The sequence below is a fragment of the Homo sapiens genome, chromosome 20 (assembly GCF_000001405.40).
Source record: "Homo sapiens chromosome 20, GRCh38.p14 Primary Assembly".
In the NCBI taxonomy this organism is placed as follows: domain Eukaryota; kingdom Metazoa; phylum Chordata; class Mammalia; order Primates; family Hominidae; genus Homo; species Homo sapiens.
In genome coordinates, this window is record NC_000020.11 from 19,401,947 (window position 1) to 19,426,436 (window position 24,490).

The following is a 24,490-nucleotide window of genomic DNA, read 5'->3' on the forward strand; positions in this document are numbered from 1 at the left end:
CATTTCTCTACCTCCTACTGGTGTTTCTTGGGCTCACATCCCCAAAATCATTGCTTGCCCTTAAATCCTTGTCTTGTTGTCTGCTTCTGGGGAGAACCCAAAATAAGGCAGGGGCTACATGGGGACAATTTACAAGTTTCAGGAAAGGAAGAAACAACAAAGGCAGAAATCCCTTTTTAATGTAATGTTATGAAAGAGGAAAGAAAGAATTACTGCTCTGAAGCTCTAATCTAAAGATTAGACAGAAGCCTGGGAGGAAATGATCACAAAATAATCAAATCCTTGATGATCTCAATAGGAATAAGCCAGAAAATGAAGAGAGTTCAGTTTACGAAAGCAGATTTGCTTAGATTTTCTCTCCAGCCTTTTTCCCCTAACGATTACAGGAATGTGAGTGAAGGATGAATGGAGATATTAGAACTATTATTTAGCAGCCTAAAGTTTGCTTCAGAAACAAACAAACCAGGGTCTCAGAAGGACAGAAATGATGAGAAACCAACCAAGGCCTCACTGCAGACTCTGTGTAGTTAGGGCACATTGGAAATGAGGCCATGTCCTCAACAAGAAGTAGAATTAGACAGCCCAGCAATATTAAGCGGGCCAACATTGAAAGAAGTTGTTGCCAGCAAAGGGCATAAAAATAATAACAACAAACAGAACATTTAAAATCTATTGGGCAGAAGGAAAGGATCAGAGAAGTTGTTTTTTTGACAGATGAAAGCTGTAAAAATCTTTCTCACTTCTGACTTTTCAGAAAAGATCAGCAGTGAACATTTGGTTGCAGCAAGTTCTAGTTATACATTAGGAAAGAAGGCAAACTCTAGACAGGGGGTGATGTAGTTCAAGATGACCCAGAAATATGGGATGCATTGAGCTTAGCAGGGCCCACACAGTGCTATCCAAAAGGACTTTCTGCATGGGTGGGCATGGTCTGCCCCAGTGGTGTCCAGGACAGTGGCCACTGGCCACACATGGCTCTTGAGCACTGGAAATGTGACTACTGTACCCAAAGAACTGAATTTTTGAATTTTATTAACTTTTAATCACTGTAATTATAATTAACCATGTGTAGCTGAGGGCTTCCATATTAGACATCCCAGGCCTGGAATATATTCCCCCAGGTAATGTGAGATGTCGTGAAGGAGCCACTGGCCTCCTATTTTGAGACATCACATAGAACAGATAATAAGCCCAAAAACTGGGGAAGGGCCAGTGTCACAATTGTACTTTTCTAAGAGAAATGTGACCACTGGAAACTACAGGTTTGTCCAACATCTGAAGGTACATGGGATTGTACCCTCATAGTAATGAACTGTTATGCATCATCTTCATGCTTGTTAAACTTGTTATTCATTATTCCTTCAAGAAATCAGAGAATGCTTATTCTATTATAGAGAATGAAGTTTTGCCTGATTCTAGGATCACAAATAAAAGTCAATGAATTTTCTTTTAAAGAAATAGTTATTGAGTAATACATATGAGGTCAACTCTGGGAGCCATGTGGTGAACAAACAGACCCCATCTCTGCCTTCATCTCCTGGAAATGTTCCTCTGGCAAAAAGAACAGACCTCTGACCAATAATCACATTGATGTATTTAATTATAGTATAACTATAAAAGGTACTGTCAATAAAGAGGACATAGTACTGTGGGAACAAATAACGGGGCCTCAGACATAGCAGAAGGCAGCAGGGATGGCTCTTCTGGGGAAATAGCATTTAAGTAGGAGTTAGTCACGCAGAGATGTAGCAGCAGGTAGGTGGGAAAGGGCATTCCAGGTAGAGGGAACAGCATGCGGACTGGCCCTGGGGAAGGGAGGACTTTGACATATTTCAGGAATCATAAGAATGCAGTGTAGCTAGAATGCAATTTGAAATATCATCAGGTGGTAGAGCCTTTTGGGGCAACAAAGCCCAGTGGTTTTCTCGACCATTTATGATTAGCAGGGGAATCCTTTAGTCAAACAAAATAAAATGGGTAACCCTCATGATAAAACAGGTAAAAGCAGCTGTGCTCAGGTCTCCTGTGTGCTTCTGCACGGAAGTGCCTTCGCTAAGCTTTGGGACTTGATGAAGGTCACGTATCTTGATAAGAGCAAGGGGAAATCAGCATTGTGGTCATCTGGCCCCACTGCCAAAGGATATTTCTGCTTTACTGCAAAGCAATAATTCTGAACCTGCTGTCAGGGATTTCTTGGCACCCCTTTAAAATTCAGTTTTACTCAGCAAATATTTTTGAGTGCCTACTATGTGTGTCAGGTACTCTCCTGGGAGCTGGGAATATCTCGGTTAACAAAACAGACCATGGCACCTGGTGGAGCTAAATTTTTGTGAGCTCGTATTTAGACAATGAAATATGGGCTGGGTAAGCCAATAGCCTTTCTAGTTGCAGAAATCCTTAGGTTCTTATGACAGCACTGTGGACAAATAAAAACTCCCTTACCCACTTGTCATGGGGGTGTAGGTAAAAGTGGAAAAGCAAATGGGCAGTGAGATCCGCAGTCAGTACTTTGTAAGTAGGGCTTGCAAAGGAATTACCAGGAAACAAGAAATCCCCTGGAGCCTAACGGGTCTAGTTTTACCCCAGTTTTTTGCCTGGCCTTCCATCAGCCTTTCTCCTTCTGTATTTGTTCAGACGCACCTAGCTGATGATTTGGGCATGAGTTTTAATCCAGTTCAGTGCATTCTTCAATGTGATACAGCATGGTTGCTGATGGGGCCCAGAGGTCGGGCTGGACACTCCTGTGGGGAAGTCATGTGTGGTCTGTTCAGAGTGCAAGCATGTCCCCTTGCAACTGCATGATGCATGCAGCTCCTCACAAGAGCTTGGCCATGGCTGAAGGACTGAAGGGGCTCTTCCCCAGGAGGCTGGCTCTTTCCCTAATTAAGTGGCAGTTCTTTCACCTGGTGCCCAAGCAAGATGGTCTTGCATTCCTGGTTTCTTTCAAGCCTATTAGGGTTGAAATGGCTCTATTTTTAAAAGGCCAGTCAGTTTTTTTCCACTGTCTCTCGGGGTACTTAGGACAGAGAGAGCAGACAGTATGACACATCCCAAAGTCATCCTTCCCTAGTGACCACTAGCCAGTGCCCCAGGAGGTCCTACATCCACAGGGTGGGTTCTTGCTAAACATGACTTTCTCTGAAAGACAGAAATCACATCTTTTCAGCTGCCCCCGCCCCAATCCCCAGCTTCTCTGGAATCTTAATTCCAAGGTGCAGTGCATTTTTCCATAGTCCCTAGTCCCCAGGTCTCCAGAGGGCCCGGGCCCACTCCTAGCATCCCCTCTGTGCAGTGGCTTGAGTGAGAGGTTAGTTGGCGTGACTGAAACCAGGACTTGGGATTCTCATGTTGGTGCTTCTTCCAGCAGCTCTTTGAGAAAACCAGGAACCACTAGCACATCACTCTCAAGTCTGTCTTCCCGTTTTTTCTGGAAAGTAAAAGTTACTGTTAGGAAAAAAGATTAGTGTTTGAGAAAACAAAATGTTGGTGCGCCTTCTGTCAGTGGCATTCTAGCTGCCTCAAATTTCTTTTCATTTTGAGTCAGGGAATAAACGACCAAAATGTACTTAGTACCCTGGCCACATGTATGGAAGCCAAAGGCAGAATAGCGACTTGGGTTAGATCACAAGGGAGAAGCGTAATTTCAGCCACATCTATCTTCACAATCACTGCTCCTCTACATTTTCGTTGAAAACCATCCTGACTTAAATAACCTGATTCCCAATAGTGCATTTGGTTTCAGTGCTGTTTCCAACCAGTTTAAAACAAAATCACAAGCCTTGAAGAATTTGAAGAATTTAAATTTTATTTCTACAAAGGATAATTATTGAAAGGTATAGCTTCCTGGGCTTATGGTCACACACTGGACAGTATAAAGTGAAGGTGTCTTATTTTTGGCAGGTGTAGAAGGAACTTTGGGTAAAATAATGAAACAGTTTTAACACACGGATTTGGAAATGTATTCATGTTTATTCCGTGAATGATTTTCTCTGCTGAAGGACTGTGTTAATAAATATTCTGCCAGCAAATATATTTTCTAAAAGGAACTTCTGAAAATATGATTTTGAATTGCTTCATGGAACTTGCTGGAGTCTTGGGCCTGCCCCTCCTTCTTATTTAATTGCTTTAGAAAGTTCTTAGAATGCAGTCTAAGAGGCTTAACTGCCTTCAAGAATATTGTAGCAGCCCATCCCGAAGTGCTTATTACATTAGAACATTTAGTGCTTTTAAAGATGGTGTGTGTGTGTGTGTGTGTGTGTGTGCGTGCGTGTGTGTGTGTGTGAGAGAGAGAGAAAGCATATCTAAATGTTGGTACCAAATCATACCCCATTGGAAAGATTCAATTTTCTGAAATTCCACCTAAGAATTTTTGTATGTATATATGAAGGCAATTGTGAAATTATAGAGAATTAGCAAAGTTTATTTAGAATTTGAGGGGTTTGGAGTGCAGTTTTACAGATTTTCTGACTCTCTTTTCTTTAATGTCCATGCAGAGACTAACATAATTGACTTTTAGATCTTTATCCAGAGAGTCAATCCAATTCAATTCAAAAATGTTTATTGCCAGTCCACTCTGAACAAACAGGATGTGATTTCTACCTTAAAGGAATTTACAGTCTAGCTGGGGCTCAAGACACATGTTGACACATTTATTGCAATACAGAGTGATGAATGCAGTGAGAAAAGTGGGGTGAGCTACAGGAGACTGGCAGACAGACTGAAAGGTAGCACAGAGGGGGAAATCATTACATTTGGGGACCTGGGGGTGCAGTAGACATCACAGCGTGCTCTATGCCCTCGGTGGCTGGTTCAGCACCCCAACTAGAATGAGACAGTGCCATGACCTTGCCATCCCAAAGCACAGTGAGGTTATTTGTTTGCTTTTTCTATTGTAAGTTAGAGAAATATTGCACCCCATTTATGAGGTACTAAGTTTCCAAGACACAAGTGTAATCCCTGGTGATGTGAAGGGAGGGGTCCAGTAAGAGAAGGCAGTTGACATGTGGTGCTGCCAGGTGTCTGTGACTAGCACAGACACATATCACTCACCAATCATGGCACTCTTTTCTGTTGATCTCTGACAACACGGTGAACCAGGTAGTTTCTACCAATCTGTGAGGTTGGGATCCAGAGGATATCAATTGACAATTACCAGAGGATCTGTTTCTGGAAACTGAGTAAGAAGATGGGATCTTGTTGGATGCATTAATCCAGAGACGATGGAGGCATCCAAGGACTGGAGCGCCTCCTTGTCACAGAGTCCACAAGCAGAGTGGTTGAGCATTCTGGGAGTGTATTTGGCAGCAGCAGCACTAAGAGGATGGCGGTAGGAGACCTTTGGATAGTTGGAAATGCCCTTCAGATGGAAAGCATTCGCCATCTTTAGTTTTTCTGTGTCCCGGTGCTGTGTCCTCATTCCTGTCTTCCTCCTGTGAGTTGAGAACGGGGCAGGTCGTGCTCTGATGCTGCAGCTCCTGCTGCTTCCAGTGTGAAGGGGCACCTGGCAGAGCAGAGCTGCCTTTCATGTCGGACACAGAGGAGGGAAAATAACAACAAAGTTTTCCTGCTTTAGAAGAGAACTGCAGGAAAGATGCAGCAGAGAGAGCTCTTCGTGGAGAATAAATGAATCACGGAAGTGTCTATTTTAGGAATCTTTACTCTTGATTAATCTCAGACATAGAAAGAAAAGAAAGGAAAACAAGTAGCCAAGAACAACAATAGTAATGATAGTTGTCATTTAAACTATGCCCTTCTTTTCCATGTTATATAGGTTCCCATTCTCCACCATATTGATGTCTGAATCTTTTATATTTTAGCAAGGACATATTGGCAATGGTCAGTCTCTATCATGGCGTCTGCATGCTAACCATGAAACCGCCACAGAAGAATTTGGCAGAAGGTGTCACTGAAATAGGAGTAAGTCCTTCTACTTCTTTCTGCATTCGTGGTGGTTGGGACACACCAAGGATGAAGGCTGCTACAGTTCTAAGGAAACCTTGTGGCTTTATGGGAGTAAACCTGTAAAACTGGTTCCTTCTCTGAACATTCTTTCTGTAACACTTAAAAAAATACCAACAGTTTGCAAAACGCTTCTAAGAATAGAAAAGAAGTCCTCCCTTACCTCAATAAAATGTGGGAATAAAATGTTGAGTACAAATGCCTTTGAACTCAGAAACTGGAGAATTTGTAATATTTTACTTTTGTCTGATTGTGAAACACATGCCTGTTCATTGGAGAAAAGTTGTAAAACACTAAAGTACCAAGTAAAAAATACTAATTATATCATTCAGATATACCATTAACATTTAGTATATTTGTTGTCATTAAAAATTCTATAAACATTTTTTTTAAATCTACATAATGCTTTGCCATTCCTAAGAGATTAACCCGTATAATAATTTTCCCCTTTTTCTAGTGAGGGTTTATTTTTGACATTAAAAATACTTTTTTTTTTTTTTTTTGAGACAGAGTCTCGCTCTGCCACCCAGCCTGGAGTGCAGTGGCATAATCTCAGCTTACTGCAGCCTCCACCTCCCAGGTTCAAGCGATTCTCCTGCCTCAGCCTCCCAAATAGCTGGGACTACTGGTGCACACCACTACTCCCGGCTAATTTTTGTATTTTTGGTAGAGACAGGGTTTCACCATGTTGGCCAAGCTGGTCTCGAACTTCTGGCCTAAAGTGATCCACCCACCTCAGCCTCCCAAAGTGCTGGGATTACAGGTGTCAGCCACCACACCCGGCCTAAAAATACTGTTCTGATGACCATCCTTGTGCCAAAATTGGTGTCTCCATTTTTGTCTATGTCATTAGGAGAGATTCCTAGAAGCAAAATACTGGTCAAAGGGTTATGGACAATTTAACACTCCTCTGGAAATAAAGGACATCCATATAATGTGGCAAATAATTTATAAAGCATTTCACCAGGGAAATGAGATTTGCCTTCATGTTTTCATTCATTCATTTGTTCATTCGGGAAACATTTATTGAGCTCCTGCTGTATGCTTTCACTGTTCTGGGCGCAAGAGACACAGGGATGCACATGAGAAATAGTTTGGCTAAAGGGAGAAGACGATCCAGAAACACATCAAAGCACCAGATATTATCAGGGAGAGTTCCGTGAAGAGCTCAGTGTTCTTGGGTCATGTTACTGAGTTGATTGGTGAGGAGGGAGACTTAGAGCTTCTTTAGATTGTAGATCCAGGAGGCCTCTCTGAGAAGGTGACTCATAGGCTGGGACTGAATTACAAGGAGACACCCTATGAAGACCAGGGAGAAGGAGGAGCCCTTCCCAGGAAGAGGCGCAGCAGGAGCAGAGGCCCTGCAGGGGACCTCTGTGCATGGGCGAGGGGAGGTGGAAACAGCTGCAGGGATAGTGGGTTCAGGAAGCAAAACATGAGTGCAGATGTTGACACTGAAGGGTCTAGAGGCAGGATGTTTCCCATCAGGTGAAGACCAGGGTGTGCAGCTTTTGGAGAGTATGCATGACCTGAGAAGGAGGAGAATGTTCTGTGCCGGATCAGACAAGTGAACTAGAAAAGGTTCTGAGCACCTTTGTGGATGAGCCACTGAGTCAGAAAGACTGCAGCACAATTATGCTCAAATGTCTCATTGGAGAAGGAGTAGGGGAGATACATTTCTTATATGATTGTAACAAGCAAGGAAAAATAACCCAAGTGTCAAGCTAGGAAAATGATGCAATAAATTATGATAGACTTGAAGTATAAAATATTATGTGACTATTTACAATCATGCTTGTGAAGAATTTTAATAACATAGGAAAATACTAACACTACTATGTTGAATTTTAAAAGATCTAAAATTATACATAAAAAACTATACACAGTTATATAACTGTGCTATTATGTATAGTTTGAATATATATAATATGTGTGTGTGTGTGTATATATATATATATATATGTATTCAAAAAATGTCCTGGCATAGAGTGGTCCAAAATGTTATTAGTGGAAGTCTTTGGGTGGTAGAATTGTGGTTATCTTTAATTTTTATGTTTATCCTTTTTTGCATCTTTCAAATTTTTAATGATACATGCATCACATCTAAAATCTAAAAAATAAAGTATGTCGACAGTTTTTTGAATGCCAGAATTCAGACGAAATTCATCGCACAGTTATTCAATTACAGAACAAGAAACTGCAGAAAGAATAGAGGCATTAGCTAGAAAAACGTTGGAAGGAACCATGTAACAAAGCAAGTTCCTCCCAAGAATCAGGAGACTTTATCAAACTCCTCATTAGAGGCCTAGAAAAAATACCTACAAAGAAGCAAGAAATGTGGCACCCAGAGGGAGAAAAATAAATTATCATCTTAACAGAAAGGCATTAGACAGTGTCCTTGAGGAAGCGAACCCAGCGTGCGGTCATGGCCTCCAAAAGATAGAAGAGAAAGAAAAGAAAAAAGGAAGCAGCCTCATTGTCATGCATCTCAGGACACATTTAGAGGAGAAACAGAAGGTGCTGTGCTCTGGCCTGGGTTGCTAGGCTCTCTCAGGCTATCTCACCACAAGGAAGGTGGTCAGAGAAAGAGAACACTCAGGGACAATAAGTATGTATCAGATCATGAGATGACAAAATGGCAGAACTGGAGGAAATACGCCTCTTCATCCCTGGTTGGGTTGAAAAATAAGCGTGGTTCTCTCGGGGAGGTCTCTGGATTCCAAAAAGCCGAAACCACATCTAATTTTGGTTTTGGTCATAGCCCCAGCACCAAGAACATTGCCTGGCACATAATAGGTGCTCAGTAAACCCTGAAAATAAGTGAATGAAAGAATCCAATGAACCATGATTTGAAGGTATCTCAAGTGGTGACACTAGCAACATCTTCATTCACCAATTCATTCGTTTTCTCTACAAACATGTATTGAACATTTTCCTGTGAAAGGCACCATCTTTAAAATAAAAACTGGTTCACAACAATTTGATGAGCTCAGTGGGCTCACATTCAGTTGTGACAGGGAGCTGTGGTGGGAGTTGTTTCTGGAAACATCCCAGCCTTTTGAGTTGAAGTCTAGGGAGAAGCCACATAATGCTGTTCTGCTTTCCTTGGTGCCTAAGAATGGCCACACATTTACGATTTGGTTTCTTAGTCCCTGCTTTCCAGGTGATGTTCCCCTCTGCCATTTTGGGCACCGATGGCCCATGGGCTGGCTGCTGTGGAGGATGCCTGCTTGAACCCAGGGTGATCACAATCTGAATGGTGTGATCTGTGACACCCTGAGCACACTTTTGCATCAGGGCTCCCATTACCCCTTCCTTAGGTGCTGAATCTCCCCATGTTCCCAAATAGGTGTTACCCACCTTGGGCCTGAATTGGTCTTTCTTTGAATTCTTGCTTCAAAAAGAAAGTGTTGGGTTTTTCTTTAGGGGGACAATGACGTGGACTTTATTTTTTCTAACACAAGTCTTCAGAACTCTGTGGTATCCTGTTAGTTGGCAGGACAGTAAAGTCAATATTTGGGAAATGTCAAGATATGTTTGGACTTTGCCTTGGACATCGCCGAGCAGATTGATGTTTCTTCCTCCCAAGTCTAGGACCTGGATCTTTTAAGTGCATCCAGCAGCAAGAAGGAAGTTGAATTTCCCAGGCAACTGAAAACCCTGGCTGTTGGAACAATCTTGCTGTGATGCATGAGTGAGTCAAATAAGCTTGAGTGATTTAAGGGAAACAAATATGGAGCAACAGGGTATCACTTGGAGGAGGGTCTCATTGGCTTCCCCTCAAAGCTTTGGCCACCTTTCAGTCAGTTTGAATAATTGTAGGTTATGCTTTTGAAGAGCAGAAACGCAAATGTTTCACTTGAGCAACCTCTGACGCGTTGATCTCCAGTAGTACATTATAACTTTGGGCATGAGGACACTGAATTTCCCTTGACACTGTCAAAATAGTTGACAATTTTTTTGTACATATTTGGTGAACTTCCTTTGTGTTCATCTCAGGACTGTCGGCATGTCAGAAATTCACAATGTGAGCTAAAGAAAAGCTCCATGATAGTCCCCAACCCCAGCCCTTACTTGTTCTTCACTGTATTTTTAACTGTGAGTACACGGGGTCAGGGTCACGGCCTCTTCTTCTGCAACAAGCTAGGAAAACCTCTTGAAAATATGAAATTACAGTATTATTGAGTATACCACTAGGCAAATTCTGAACTCCAGTAATTCTAGGAATTCAGTGCATTTGGCCTGCAAATTTATCTCTCACTATTTTTCTTCAAATCCATCCAGTGCATCTTTGTTTTAAGCCTAATAAAATTAAGCCTTAATAAAATTATTCAGGCAGGAGTGACCCAGACAAAGAAAGATGGGCTTGGTTGGGGTGGCAAGACAGAACTGTAAATTCATGGAAAAAACCTTTTGATAGGATAAAGATGGGAAAGTCATGAAGAAGATTGTGACCATTCAGGTTCCCCTGTGAGCGAAATGCCAAATTGAAGAAGAAAAGAAAAAGAAGGAGGTGGAGAAGGAGGAAGAAGAGACAGGGAGGAAGAAGAGGAAGAGTAAATAAGGAGAAGGAGGGAGAATAAGAAGAGAAGAAACAGAAGAGGGAGATGAGGAAGCAGGAGGAGAAGGAGGAAAAGAGGAAGACGGAGAAGGAGGAGGGACAGGACGAGGAGAAAGGAGGGCAGGAAGAGAAAGAGAAGGAGGAGCAAGAGGAGGAGGAGGAGGAGGGGGGGAGGAGGAGCACCTGAAGGCAGCAGCATGCCCTGATGAAATTCTTTTAAGATCTCCCACAGAATAGTATAGGGTGCATATTTTGGATGTCACTTTGACTTGATATCTTTTAAAGAAAGAGAAAATGGGCTGTTTTCTCATGGCCTGAATCACTTGGACTTCATTTGTGCAGTAACAGCTGAATAGCTTGCATTCAGCCCCTAAACTCCCAGTAACCAGCCAATTGATATTACTTTGGAGGCCTCCTTCTCTTTGATGTATCTCTGTTGAACACATCACAATGTTTTTGGGATAAATATAAAAGATAGTTCAAAGTGGGAAGAGTGGCTTAAATGGGGAGGAATATCCCAACTGGTGGTTGCTATCATAATGCGTCATCTTGGCATGAATGCTCTAATTGGAGATTTCTGATGCTCAACTGGGACACTTCTAGGATCTGTTAGCTCCTGAAGTAATTTTCAGCCCTTTTGCCTTTGGGCTACCTACTTAGTCGTTGAGAAAGACCAAACCCAGAAGTATAGGGCCAGGACTAGAAGTCTTCCAGAATTGGACTGGACCTATAGCTAGTTACATTTTCATAAGTCAGACCATTTTCTGAAAACAGAAAGAAAATGGAGAAATGAGAACTTGCATCATTACATGGTTTATGATGCTTCATGGAGTATCTTGAGCAAAACCAAGATGCAATGAATATTTGTTGTATAAATAAATCAATGGTACCAGACATTGGGGTCCCTGGTCTCTAGGACAGTGGAAAAGAGCAGAGGAATTGGAGGAAATGCTGAAGAGTTAGAAAAATTTTCTAACTTCTCTTCAAGCAAGGATTACTGTTTCAGGTGGGCCCTTTGAGCTGCCCCGTTCTTTAAAGGAGACTGTCTGGGAAGATGCTCCACGCTGAATGTTCTAGCTGCACTGATTGCCCCCCTGGTTGCTTGTTTGGTTTCTATCAAGAACACCCAGTAATCACCTTTCACTTTCCCCCCAACCTCACCTTTGCAGCAGACTGATGATTACATTTTGATTTGCAACTTCTTGTTCTAAAACAGGTAAGCAGAAGGAAAAACATGTCTCTATGACATTCTACCATAGTTCCCCAGGACAGGAATATTTTAGTCAAGCTCTTTGTTAGAATGGCTTAAAGTAAATGCATTGAAAGAAATCATCATGGAATCAATCAATAGGTTTGACGTAATAACATTTTAAAATTTCTCTTTATAATGTTATCTCATGAGCAAAATCAACAGACAAGCATCAAGCTGGGAAATGTTTGAAACCAATATGTTGGAGAAAAAATATTAATATTCCTAATATATAAAGAATGCATACAAATCAATAAGAAAAACATTAAGACCCAAAATAGATACCCAGGTAAAGGACAAACAAATCTCTGAAGAGGGAATGCAAATGGCAAATCAGCATATGATACAATGTCCAGCCCTCCTTGGTTTTGAACAAAATGCAAATTGAAATAGCAGAAGGACATCATTTGCCCTATCAAATTAACAAAGATTCTAAAATGATGGTCGAAGAAAGGGGGCAGTGAAGTAGAATGTCATGTGCTACTCAGGAGAGGCACAGATTTTCTGGAAAATAACTAGCCCATTATAAATCAAGAGCCTTAAAACAGGTGGATACGTTTTGACCTAGGAATTCAGCTTCTAGAAATGTATCATGAGGAGGTCATCAGAAATATGGGAACTCACTTATATACAAAGATATTAATAACAGACATTTGCTTTATTTAAACATTAATTATCAAAGAGTCAAAGTGCACCAAATCATGAGAATGGCTCAATGAATATGGCTTATCCATTCCACGGAATATAGAGCTGTTAAACATGGTATGTGTGTAAAGAGTTTGTGTGGCATGAAAAAACTTTTAAGATATAACATTAGTAGAACAAAATAGGAAAATATCACTACATATCATTTTATATATTTTCAAAACCGTAAAGAGACTGGAAGAAAATACTCTAAATTCTTACATCAGTTATCTCAGGACAATGCAATTACAAGGAACTATTATTTTCTTTTTAAACATTTTTTTCTCCAGGTTTTCAGAAAGGGTATCTTTTCCTCTTAAAATAGAAGAGAGAATAGCATTCTCTCAGAGAGGCCCTCAGTCAAGATCAATGACCTCATGGTTTAGTGTTATCTTAGAGCATGAACTCAATCTGTGGACAAATAACCTGTAAATTACATAATGCATCATATCACGTTTCCCTTTCTGCCTTGGCTGTCAAAAACCTAAGGCCAATTATAATGTTCAACCAAAATAAATAATTATCTTGACTTTGTATTGAGTTTTCTCCCACTTCTTTTTATATCACTTCATGAATTTTATATTTATTTTTACAGCCTTATAGTATGTATCTTTAGTTAGAAACCACTTCAAATTCTTTTTATTTTAAAAGTAGTTGGCTCTCTCATTATAATACCTATAAATGTGTATATCGAGCTTTAGAGTCAGTAAAAAGCATTGACCATATTTAGTTTTGATGTGTTGTCCAGCAGCAGGGGTCTTTGGGAAGTGATATAAGGATCCTGGTGGTGTTGAGAGTGGACACGCTTGTGGATACACAGGTATGTGCACACCACTGACACACTCACACCTGCTCATCCTGCATGTTCATTGTAGAATATAAGCCTCAGGGCTGCACCTTTTCATGCCTGCATGTTATTCCAGAACTGTGTAGGCTCCTGTGCCTTGATTGTGCAGTGCACGGTGTGACCTGAATGACAGAAGCCACCTCACCAAAGTGAGGCAGAACTTTATTACAAACCCTCAAGTCCACTCTCCCGCATGTCTATAGAAAAGTTGAGGTGGAAACAACTGCTTCCAGCCATACCATTCATTTTTCCTAAAGAAACCCTAAGTAAGTATTCTAAGTTCCACTGTTTAAAAAAAGTGAGATAAAACAACCTTTCAAAACTAACTCTGGGCTCACCAGAATGTATACCTTAAATGTGTACAAGATTTTGTGTATCAGTTATACCTCAATAAAGCTTAAAAAAAAAAAAACTGAATCTAGGTCCCTGGTCAGGGATTTCGGCTTTCTCTTAGGGTGAGGTATTGTTCAAAATTAGCATGCATTTCAGAGAATTTGTTCTGTCAAGTGAATTATCTCATCCTATTATATTCCAATTCCAGGAGGGGAAAGCTAAGATATACAGTAAACCTAAAGTCATGATTTTAGACTTCTTAATGTCTTAAATTAAATGTCTTAAATTAAAAGGAAAACTCACCAAGACTCTCTTGTCCTTGAAAGACCTTTTTCTCTAGATTGTGCAAGGTGGTAGGCATATCATGGTAGCTAAGCAAAGGTCAGGGGTTCAGACAGGCCTGGCTTTGAATTATATCTCTCCTGCTTATTAGCTCTGTAAGTTTGGCAGTGATATTTAACTCCACTGAGCCTCAGTTTTCTCATTTGTAAATAAACCCAGTAATGATAGTTAATGTGTTACATGTTTACTGTGTGCCAAGCACTGGGCTGAGTGCTTCACACATATCGACTCATCCCATCCCCCACCACCTCACCAAGGTGGGTGATCCATGGACTACCATGGCAAATGGGGAAACCAAGGCACAAAACACAACACAAAAACAAAAACAACACAATCATTTGCTAAAGTTCTGTGTGAGCTTGTAAGTGGCAGAGCCCAGATTCCGATTCAGGAAACGTGGCCCTTGAGCCTGCATTCGTAACCACCCTGGGAAGGTGGTATGGGAAGACAACTCCAGCCTTGTAGTAGATTTTTATTTTATGGCTCGCCAGCTAACTAAAATCCTTTCAATAAATTGTCCTTCTGCTGAGCTCAGGCAGAGGGGCTTCTTTCTCTTATAATGAAGACCTTTGATTGATAAGGGTCCTTCTCCCTCACAGACAAGGACACCAGTGAGGAGAGTGGCTCTGCCCAAGGACACCTGCAAGCCGGTGCCTTGTCCTGCTGGTTCCCAATCAGTGCACTTCCTTGTTTGGAGTAAATTGATATAGTACAAGAGAGATTCAAGGAAAAGATGGAATTTTAGCAGTTCACTACAGAGAGCCTGTAACTTAAATAGGAGAGTTGAGTAGGAATTTTAGGTTTGGAACCAAGAACCTTCACTCATTCCCTTGCTTGGTCATTTCATTAAGACTGAGTGTTTACCACTTCCTGGGCTCTGTGCTAAGTACTTGAGATGTGAATGTAAGGAGTCTTTTAAGGAGCTTCCTGTCTATGGGGGAGACATGCAGATACAATAAAATGCCACCAGTCGTATAGCAAAACTCGCAGAAGGTACTGTGGGAGCACAGAAGGGGAGCAGTTAACCTAAAACCAAAAGGAGCAATCTTGGAGAACTTCTTGAAGCAGGTGGCACTTCAGTTTAATTTTTTAAGAATAAACAGGAATTAGACAAATGAAGGGTGACAGGAAAGACAAGATAGACTGGAGAGGCCACATACACAAAGGCCGATGGCAGGGGAAATGTTAGGTGTTTGAGGAACTGCAAGTAATTTGGGGTGTATTAGACCAGTGAGGAAAAAAATAGACCCGTGAACAACCTTTAGCATTAAAAAATTTAATTTTATCCTGAAGACAGTAAGGAATGGTCAACAGGAAGTAACATGATCAGATTTGCAGTAGTGTAGAAAATAGATTGGAGACAACTATTGGTTAAACATAGTGCATTATATATGTGTTTATCTTTGTTCTCTCCAAAAATCCACGGAAATGATAATAACATAAAAAAAGTCATTAATCTGCAAGTACAGACAGAATGGAACAATAGCGGGCAGATGAGAGGTGTCAACTCAGTTGTACAAGATGTCAAGTGGATGGAAGCGTGATACCTCATCAGTGAACTAGAGACAGTGGGATCCCTGCTTCTGCAGGATGGGAAAGATGAGACACCAACTAGAAGCAAGCTGATTCACATTGAGAAACCTTGAAAGCTTCAGAAATCAGGGTGCCAGATATCCATAAATGTACAGACTTGGGAAAGGCTGAAAACAGAAGAATAAGTTGTTTATTAGGAACAATTACGTAAACTTCTAGATATGCTCTCTTCCCATACCACACAGTCAGGAAACCAGCCTGCACCCCAAACCTAGCAGAACTCTGAAGGCACATTTTCTGAGTTGAACTAGAAACATTCTGACTCAGGCATCAGCCGAGGTGAGGATGCTGGATGAGGCATCACATTACAATAGTGGGAGTAAGTGAAACTCTACATACTGAATGGTGAGACCCCTGCCTAGCACCCAGAAATGAAAGCCAGACCTGTACTCTCTAGGTAGGAAGTTGGAGGAGTGGAGGAGTCCTTTTGGGAGAAACCAATCTGCTCAAAACAAAAGGCCTACATAATGTTGACATTGGAGGTCCCCTGAGAGATTGCTAGATCCCTGCCTGCCCACTCTGCAGTGAAACCCTGAAGGAAATAGTCTCATCCTTCACAGAAACAGAGCTTTCAGTCAACATTTTAGCTCCTCACTCAAATATGAAAAAACAACAAGGGATCATTAGGCACTTGAAAGGGAATGGCAGAAACCAAAGTGGAAAAGCAGGACAAAAAGGAATTTTAAACAAACAGAGACAGCGTGGAGCACATATGAAACATCAAGAAAAGGATAAGTGATAGCTTCAGGTCTAGGAGAAGTTGTTGCACCCATGGAACAAGAACAGCATGCTGTATAAAAAGAACATTCAGAGAACACAATAGAGCTCTTGGAAATAAAAATATGTAATAGCAAAAACAAAAAATCCAAAAAAATAGTGCCAACATAAAGTTGAGGAAATCTCCCGGAAAATAGAATAAAACTACAATGGATGGAATAAAGTAGGGGGAAAAAAATAAGAAAATTAGAGGACTGGTCTGTGCAATCTAAAACCCAGATAAATAAAAGTTATAGAAGCAAAACAAAACAAAAAACAGTAAATGGAAGAGGAGATGAAATTATCAAAGAAAAATACAAGAAAATATCCAGCTCATAAATATGAGTTGACTACTTTGAAAGGGCTCATTGAGTGCCCATCACCATGAATTGTAAAAGACCCTAATAATATAATATATAATATAATAATATAATAAACATCACTCCTCTTTAAAAGAATGAGATTCTTAGAGAAGTGGATAATTCTAAGTCTGGGGCAGGAAATGCACAAGATGGAACATTATATCAAACCAAATAGCAAAACAGTCATGGAAGTAAGTCTGTTTGGGTCATGTCAGTGGGACTCAGGAGCCAATTTGGAGAGATTCCCACTGGCCAGAGGTGTAATGATTTGAGCATCACTTAGAATAATGACTGTAATGAATCAGACATGTTTCAAACCACGAGTCTATTATGATGCCTAAAAAAAGAAGTCATTGGCCACCTTTGGAAGATGCTAGGAAATCAACTCATTATTTTGAAAGCTGATAAATAACAAGAAAGAATCAAGCATTTATTTTGTCTTTCATGTAAAACTGTAGTTCAAGTAACCAAACAGTTGATGAGAGAAGGTTTCTCTTTATACAAGTATTTCAACTCATAAACAAAGAAGGAAGGAAAACAAATGTGAACTTCACCACACTGCATCTCCTGGTGACATAAAGGATCTGGGCCAAGATCACTGATTATTGCTAACACCAAAAGGAGTGACAAGCAGACATTTGTGCTTCCTGGTGGAAGTACACACCACCACCTGTGAGGCCCTATTGCCAAACCCCCTCTCCTGCTGGCACAAATCAGGCAGTAAAAAGCTAGCTTCTTTTTTTTTTTTTTCCTGGGCATTTAAGCCAGAAGAGAATATGTTTTGCAGAGGCTCAGTTTACACTGAATGCAAGGACCGGGGATCTGGTATAAAGGTTTTTGCAAGTGATGGATTTAATACTTAATGACTGATACAGAGCCTCTAAGCAAAATTTCCTGAATCTCTGCCCAGAAGAAATGTTGGAGGTTTAACCCAGCTGTCCATCTGTCATGTGGACCGTCTCTGCAGTCCCTCAGGCAGATCCTGAGGGGAGGGATGTGAAGGGGCTGGGAAAAGGGTGTGCAGCCTCCTGGGTAGGATCTTTGCAGCAGCTGCCCTTTCCTGCCTTCCCGTGGGAGGCAGTGCTGGAAGCTGCACAGCATCTCCTTTCACTTCTGAGGGCTTTCAGAGATGGAGGCCACACGGGCTCAGGGACATTAATTCCAGGTCTCGCCATGTCCTCGACAGCCAAGTTTTTTTTTTTTTTTTTTATTATACTCTAAGTTTTAGGGTACATGTGCACATTGTGCAGGTTAGTTACATATGTATACATGTGCCATGCTGGTGCGCTGCACCCACTAACGTGTCATCTAGCATTAGGTATATCTCCCAATGCTATCCCTCCCCCCTCCCCCGACCCCACCACAGTCCCCAGAGTGTGATATTCCCCTTCCTGTGTCCATGTGATCTCATTGTTCAATTCCCACCTATGAGTGAGAATATGCGGTGTTTGGTTTTTTGTTCTTGCGATAGTTTACTGAGAATGATGGTTTCCAATTTCATCCATGTCCCTACAAAGGACATGAACTCATCATTTTTTATGGCTGCATAGTATTCCATGGTGTATATGTGCCACATTTTCTTAATCCAGTCTATCATTGTTGGACATTTGGGTTGGTTCCAAGTCTTTGCTATTGTGAATAGTGCCGCAATAAACATACGTGTGCATGTGTCTTTATAGCAGCATGATTTATAGTCCTTTGGGTATATACCCAGTAATGGGATGGCTGGGTCAAATGGTATTTCTAGTTCTAGATCCCTGAGGAATCGCCACACTGACTTCCACAATGGTTGAACTAGTTTCCAGTCCCACCAACAGTGTAAAAGTGTTCCTATTTCTCCACATCCTCTCCAGCACCTGTTGTTTCCTGACTTTTTAATGATTGCCATTCTAACTGGTGTGAGATGATATTCCATGCTCATGGGTAGGAAGAATCAATATCGTGAAAATGGCCATACTGCCATTTTCATAATTTCATAATTTCATAATTTCATAATTTACAGATTCAATGCCATCCCCATCAAGCTACCAATGACTTTCTTCACAGAATTGGAAAAAACTACTTTAAAGTTCATATGGAACCAAAAAAGAGCCCGCATCGCCAAGTCAATCCTAAGCCAAAAGAACAAAGCTGGAGGCATCACACTACCTGACTTCAAACTATACTACAAGGCTACAGTAACCAAAACAGCATGGTACTGGTACCAAAACAGAGATATAGATCAATGGAACAGAACAGAGCCCTCAGAAATAATGCCGCATATCTACAACTATCTGATCTTTGACAAACCTGAGAAAAACAAGCAATGGGGAAAGGATTCCCTATTTAATAAATGGTGCTGGGAAAACTGGCTAGCCATATGTAGAAAGCTGAAACTGGATCCCTTCCTTACACCTTATACAAAAATCAATTCAAGATGGATTAAAGATTTAAACGTTAGACCTAAAACCATAAAAACCCTAGAAGAAAACCTAGGCATTACCATTCAGGACATAGGCGTGGGCAAGGACTTCATGTCCAAAACACCAAAAGCAATGGCAACAAAAGCCAAAATTGACAAATGGGATCTAATTAAACTAAAGAGCTTCTGCACAGCAAAAGAAACTACCATCAGAGTGAACAGGCAACCTACAACATGGGAGAAAATTTTCGCAACCTACTCATCTGACAAAGGGCTAATATCCAGAATCTACAATGAACACAAACAAATTTACAAGAAAAAAACAAACAACCCCATCAAAAAGTGGGCGAAGGACATGAACAGACACTTCTCAAAAGAAGACATTTATGCAGCCAAAAAACACATGAAGAAATGCTCATCATCACTGGCCATCAGAGAAATGACAGCCAAGTTTTGAGTTTTGAGTTTCTTCAACAGCTGAGCCTGAACAAGGGCTTCAGTTTAGGAGGAGGAGACAGGAAGCAAGGTAAGCAAATGAGACAGGAGAGCTAATATTGTTGCAGGACTTCTTCCTTAGTTCAGCTAAAGATGTGGATCCTTATCACACGCCCATGAAAATTTAGGCTTGCAGACGATTTGAAGAGTGAGAAAAACGGGATTTACTGGGCAAAAAGGAAAAAAAAGTGGGGGGACAGAGACTCTTAGCAAAGCAAGAGAGTGTGCTTTTTGGCCATGGGCTTCGCGCCTCACAGCTTAAATTCCAGGTTCAACACAGGAAGAAGAGGGGCCAGGCTTCTCCCTTCTGCAAAATGCACGAACTTCCGGAGCCTCCACCCCAGTGGCACAGGCTGGTTAGAGTTTTGCCAGGGAACTCTTCGCACCTGGCTGTCTCAATACAAGATGTGTCAGGGAGCGAGTTACCACTGTGGACACCGGGAACCTCCGGGAGATTGTGAGGAACACGCCTCAGCCTCAGAGTTGTCCCATCCGGGACAAAGAAGTGGGAGTCTCTTTCCCCCAGTGCTTGAGGGTCACTCCTGGGGTGCTGACTCTCTGGCAGTTCTGGTCGATCCTACTGAGTGTGTTCTCTGGCCAGAGAACACATGCAGACTGGGTAGAGCTGTCTGCAGGTAATCTCTGAGGGAATCTAAGTCTCCCCCACATGGCCAGTAAATGGCAGAGCTCAGAGCAGAACCAGACCATCTTGGCCACAGTGCTGTGCTTGTAGCCTCCGCACTAAACAGGTGTTGGGTTTTTTAAATAAAGCTCAGATCTGGAACTTGGGGAGAGAGGGCAGGCTGCTACTGGCTAGACGTGCCTTTGTCAAGCAGGTAGTGACACAGGTATTGTGTGTTGGGAGAGCAAGCAGTTACGGGAGTAGGGCTGCACCTCCATGGTTCTGGCCTGATGTATCCCAGAAAGAACTGAGGATGCTTGTGATCAGTGGGGCTGTCAGGAACCTGGCTTCTGACCTGGGCTATCCTGCTCTCAACATCTTCTGTAGTTTTGTTGAAAATGCTGACGGTCATTCTCAACCCTGGCTGCACATTAAGGTCACCTGGAGAACTTTAAAAAATACTGATGCCTCTGTTCCTTCCGCAGAGTGAGGTAAGTAATTGGTCTGCAGTGAGTCCTGGCAGGGGGAGCTTTAAAAATCTCCCCAGGTGTTTCCAATGAGCAGCCACAGCTTATAAGAAAGTTCTAAAAGCTTAAGCAGGAAGCTTCTATTGCAAGAAAGTATTATTTTAGCAATCAGGAAGGAATTTCTCACCTCTTTACAAAACCCCACCCAGTGAGTTGGGGGAAGAACGAGCCCCCATAGAAGGATGTGTGAGTGAGCCCTTTTGCCTGCAGGCCTCTGATGGAATAAGAGAGTTACACATAAGTGTAATTGATTAGTAATTGATAAAGTTAGGAAGTCGCTTATCAGTGTCACCTCCTGGCCATAAAACTCTGCTGATCAGTGATGCTACTTTAATTCCCAAGCTTCAGTTTTCACATTTATAAATGAACATATTCATGTGGCCTGAGCAAACTCCTATGGCTGGGCACCTGGCATGCTCAGGGCAGACACACTGGCAGCTCTTGCCCCGCATCCAGCCGGTCTGGCCAAGAGTGGTTCAGTGTTCTGGGCCACAACTAAGGTGCTTTAGCAGAACAGGGAATGTTCGATTTTCTCAGCCCTACTGGTCATCCAGATGTTGTGGGAGGGAGACATTTGAGGGGCTGAGCTCAGAAGGGGCCATCTCCCTTCCTCTAGCTTTTCCTGCTTTCCCGCTCAGCCCCAACTGCAGAAACTGAATCCTAGCAGCAGGGTGAGTGCAAAGTGATAAGGGGCCTTTGCTCGGTCTGAAAAAGATGGCTGTGGTAATTAGGACAAAAGAAAATGTAGCTAGGCCATTTAAAAACTTTGCAGGATGCTTTCCTTCCCAAAGAATGAGCTAAGCAGGAGCCCCCGGGAGGTGTTTTTAATGGGGCTAAGCAGCAGGAGGGTTTGCAGAATTGTTTTCTCTGCTCCCAGGGGTTCTGTTTCTGTTTTGGTATAGGCACCGAACTTATTGGTTTTCCAGAGCTCCATTTGTTGTTATTAATAACACAGCATCATCCAGAGCTTGAGCAAAGGCAGGCAGCAAGGAAGCAGGAATCCTGATATTTAGAGAGGGCTGCATGTTTAGAGACATCCCTGCCCAGCCCCCACAGTAGGTTGGTTCTCTGGACATTGAGGGTGCCAGGTCCTGACAGTGCACTCAGGATTTGAAGCCAGGTCTTCCTGGGGAGCTTACTGTTTAGTGCAGGATGCCAGGTTTGTCGGTAGTCAGCAGTTCATGTCCCACAACAGAGTGCATGATACGATGGAGGTAGGCACCCAAGCCTGGAGGGGTAGGGGAGGGGTGTGCAGGAAAGGAGTTTGTCTCACAAAGAGTCTTGTCTGAGATACGTTTAAAGGAAGTGAAGTTATGAAGCATGAAAAGGAAGGAATCCCTTAATGGTGGGAGGAACCACATGAGCCATAGCAGAGCGAAGAGGAAAGGCATGGTGTGATCTAGAAACAGTAGACAAGTGGGGGTGGCTGGTGCAAGGGAGGCCAGGGGTGACAAGATATAAAGCTGAGAGATTAAGCAGAAACCAAATACCCAAGACAATTTCCTGGGTCCGGGAGCATAGACTTGACTCCAACTCCTTCCAGCTTTTCATTTTGAAACGTACAAATCTACAGAAAAGTTTCAAGAATAGTACCATAAATAACTGCACATTCTACACATGGATTCCCAACTTGTTAACAGGTGCCACATTGGTCTTCTCTTCCTCTCTGTATATTTTTGCCAAAACTTTGAAAATAGGTTATAGACATGATGACTAAATAATTGAGCATGGGGCCGGGTGCAGTGGCTCATGCCAGTAATCCCAGCATTTTGGGAGGCTGAGGCGGGTGAATCATTTAAGGTCAGGAGTTCAAGACCAGCCTGGCCAACATGGTGAAACCCCAGCTCTACTAAAAATACAAAAATTAGCCGAGTGGTAGTGGTGTGTGCCTGTAATCCCAGCTACTTGGGAGGCTGAGGCAGAATCGCTTGAGCCTGGGAGGCAGAGGTTGTGGAGCCAAGAGCCTAGGTTGTGGAGCCAAAAGGCTTGAGCCTGGGAGCCAAGATTGTGCCACAGCACTCCAGCCTGGGCAACAGAGTGAGACCCTTTCTCAAAAAAAAAACAACAACAAAAAAAAAAAAAAAAAAAAAAAAAACTTGAGCATAGGTCTCTAGGAGAAAAAGACATTATCTTACATAACCACAATGTCACTGCTATTCTATGGAATTGAACACTGAAAATATATTGAACGTATTATTTGACACTCATTCTATAGTTAAATTTTCTGAATTATCCCACAAAGGAACTTTATAGGTCTCCTGTTCTTTATGGAGAGTCTGATCAAGGAAGACATAAGAACACTAATGGCCAATACCCGCAAAACATACCCGCTAATAAAAATTTTTGGGCTGGGCACAGTGACTTACACCTGTAATCCCAGCACTTTGGGAGGCCGAGGTGGGCAGATCACGAGTTCAGGAGTTCAAAACCAGCCTGACCAACATGGTAAAACCCCGTCTCTACTAAAAATACAAAAATTAGCTGGGCATGGTGGTGTGCACCTGTAATCCCAGCTACTCAGGAGGCTGAGGCAGGAGAATCACTTGAACCTGGGAGGCGGAGGTTGCAGTGAGCCAAGATTGTGCCACTGCACTCCAGCCTAGGTGACAGAGTGAGACTCCGTCTCAAAAAAAAAAAAATTAATTACTGGGGACATTGGCTCTTTTATCTCTTTTAATGACCAGCCCCCGGCCTTTTTGTTGTTACTGTTGCTTTGTTTTTCTTGACATTATCATCCGTTAAGAGTACAGGCCAGTCACTTTGTAGAATGTCCCTCAGTGTGAGGTTTGTGCAATTGTTCACTCATTATTAGATTAAGGTCAAACATTTTTGGCAAAAGTACCACATGGGAGAGGTGGTGGCCTTCCCGTTGCATCGGTTCCAGAGGTTCATGGTGCCAGCTTGTCCCAGTATTGCTGTCCTAAGTTGTCCGCTTGATGTCTCTACAGTTTTTCCATTTTAAAGATATATCTTACTCTTCATAATTAAGGGAGATTTTACAGTTCTATCTTCCATTCTCCATTTGTAGCTTGACATGCTTCTCTGAAGAGAAACTCCCACCACACACTTCTTTAAATTATCACTGTAGACTCCTGGGATTCATTTTTTTATTCAATGCATTATAATTCATTAGTGTCATTCCTTATGCATGTTGGTGCTCAAATTGTCCCAAATTGGGCCAGTGGTTGCTCCTTCAAGCCAGCTCGTGTGCCTTGGATGGTCCTTACTCAGTTTTGCGCACTTCCAGGCTTCCTGCCTAACTTTGTGCTTTCTTGCCCTGAACTTGGAATTACACTTTTCCAGAGAGCCCTAGTTCCTTTTAGTGAGGAATAATCACTAGAAACCCAGGTCCATGTGCTAACTGTGCTTTATTGCTACCGAAATATCGCTGCTTCTAGGCCCTTCAAGTGGAAAGTGCTTAGAAATGTGTATTTTCCCAAACTTACTAGTTTATGCCAATAACACCAATTCAACATGAGATTCTTCCTCACTTCCTCCCATTCCATATCCCTACATTGGTTCTCAAATATATGAATATATTTACTTATTTGTGCTCTGTATTACAATATACACAAGGTTGTTTCCAGATTACTGTATAGGTAACACCACCACCAACAGCAAACTTACCAGGTAAAATGTAAGATTTCTTGGAGCTATTTTCTTTCTTAGAACATGTCCCACTATGGGCGTACACTCAGAGGACTGTGTTTAAAATTACTTAAATATATTATTTGTGGTTAGATTCAATTGTTTATATACA

The 24,490-nt window shown here is 41.9% G+C and overlaps 1 protein-coding gene across 1 annotated transcript in view; it reads left to right on the forward strand.

The window, feature by feature from the left end:
* The window catches only part of SLC24A3 (solute carrier family 24 member 3), a 510,285-nt gene that overhangs the window by 189,305 nt on the left and 296,490 nt on the right, over positions 1–24,490 (forward strand). The window lies entirely within an intron of this gene.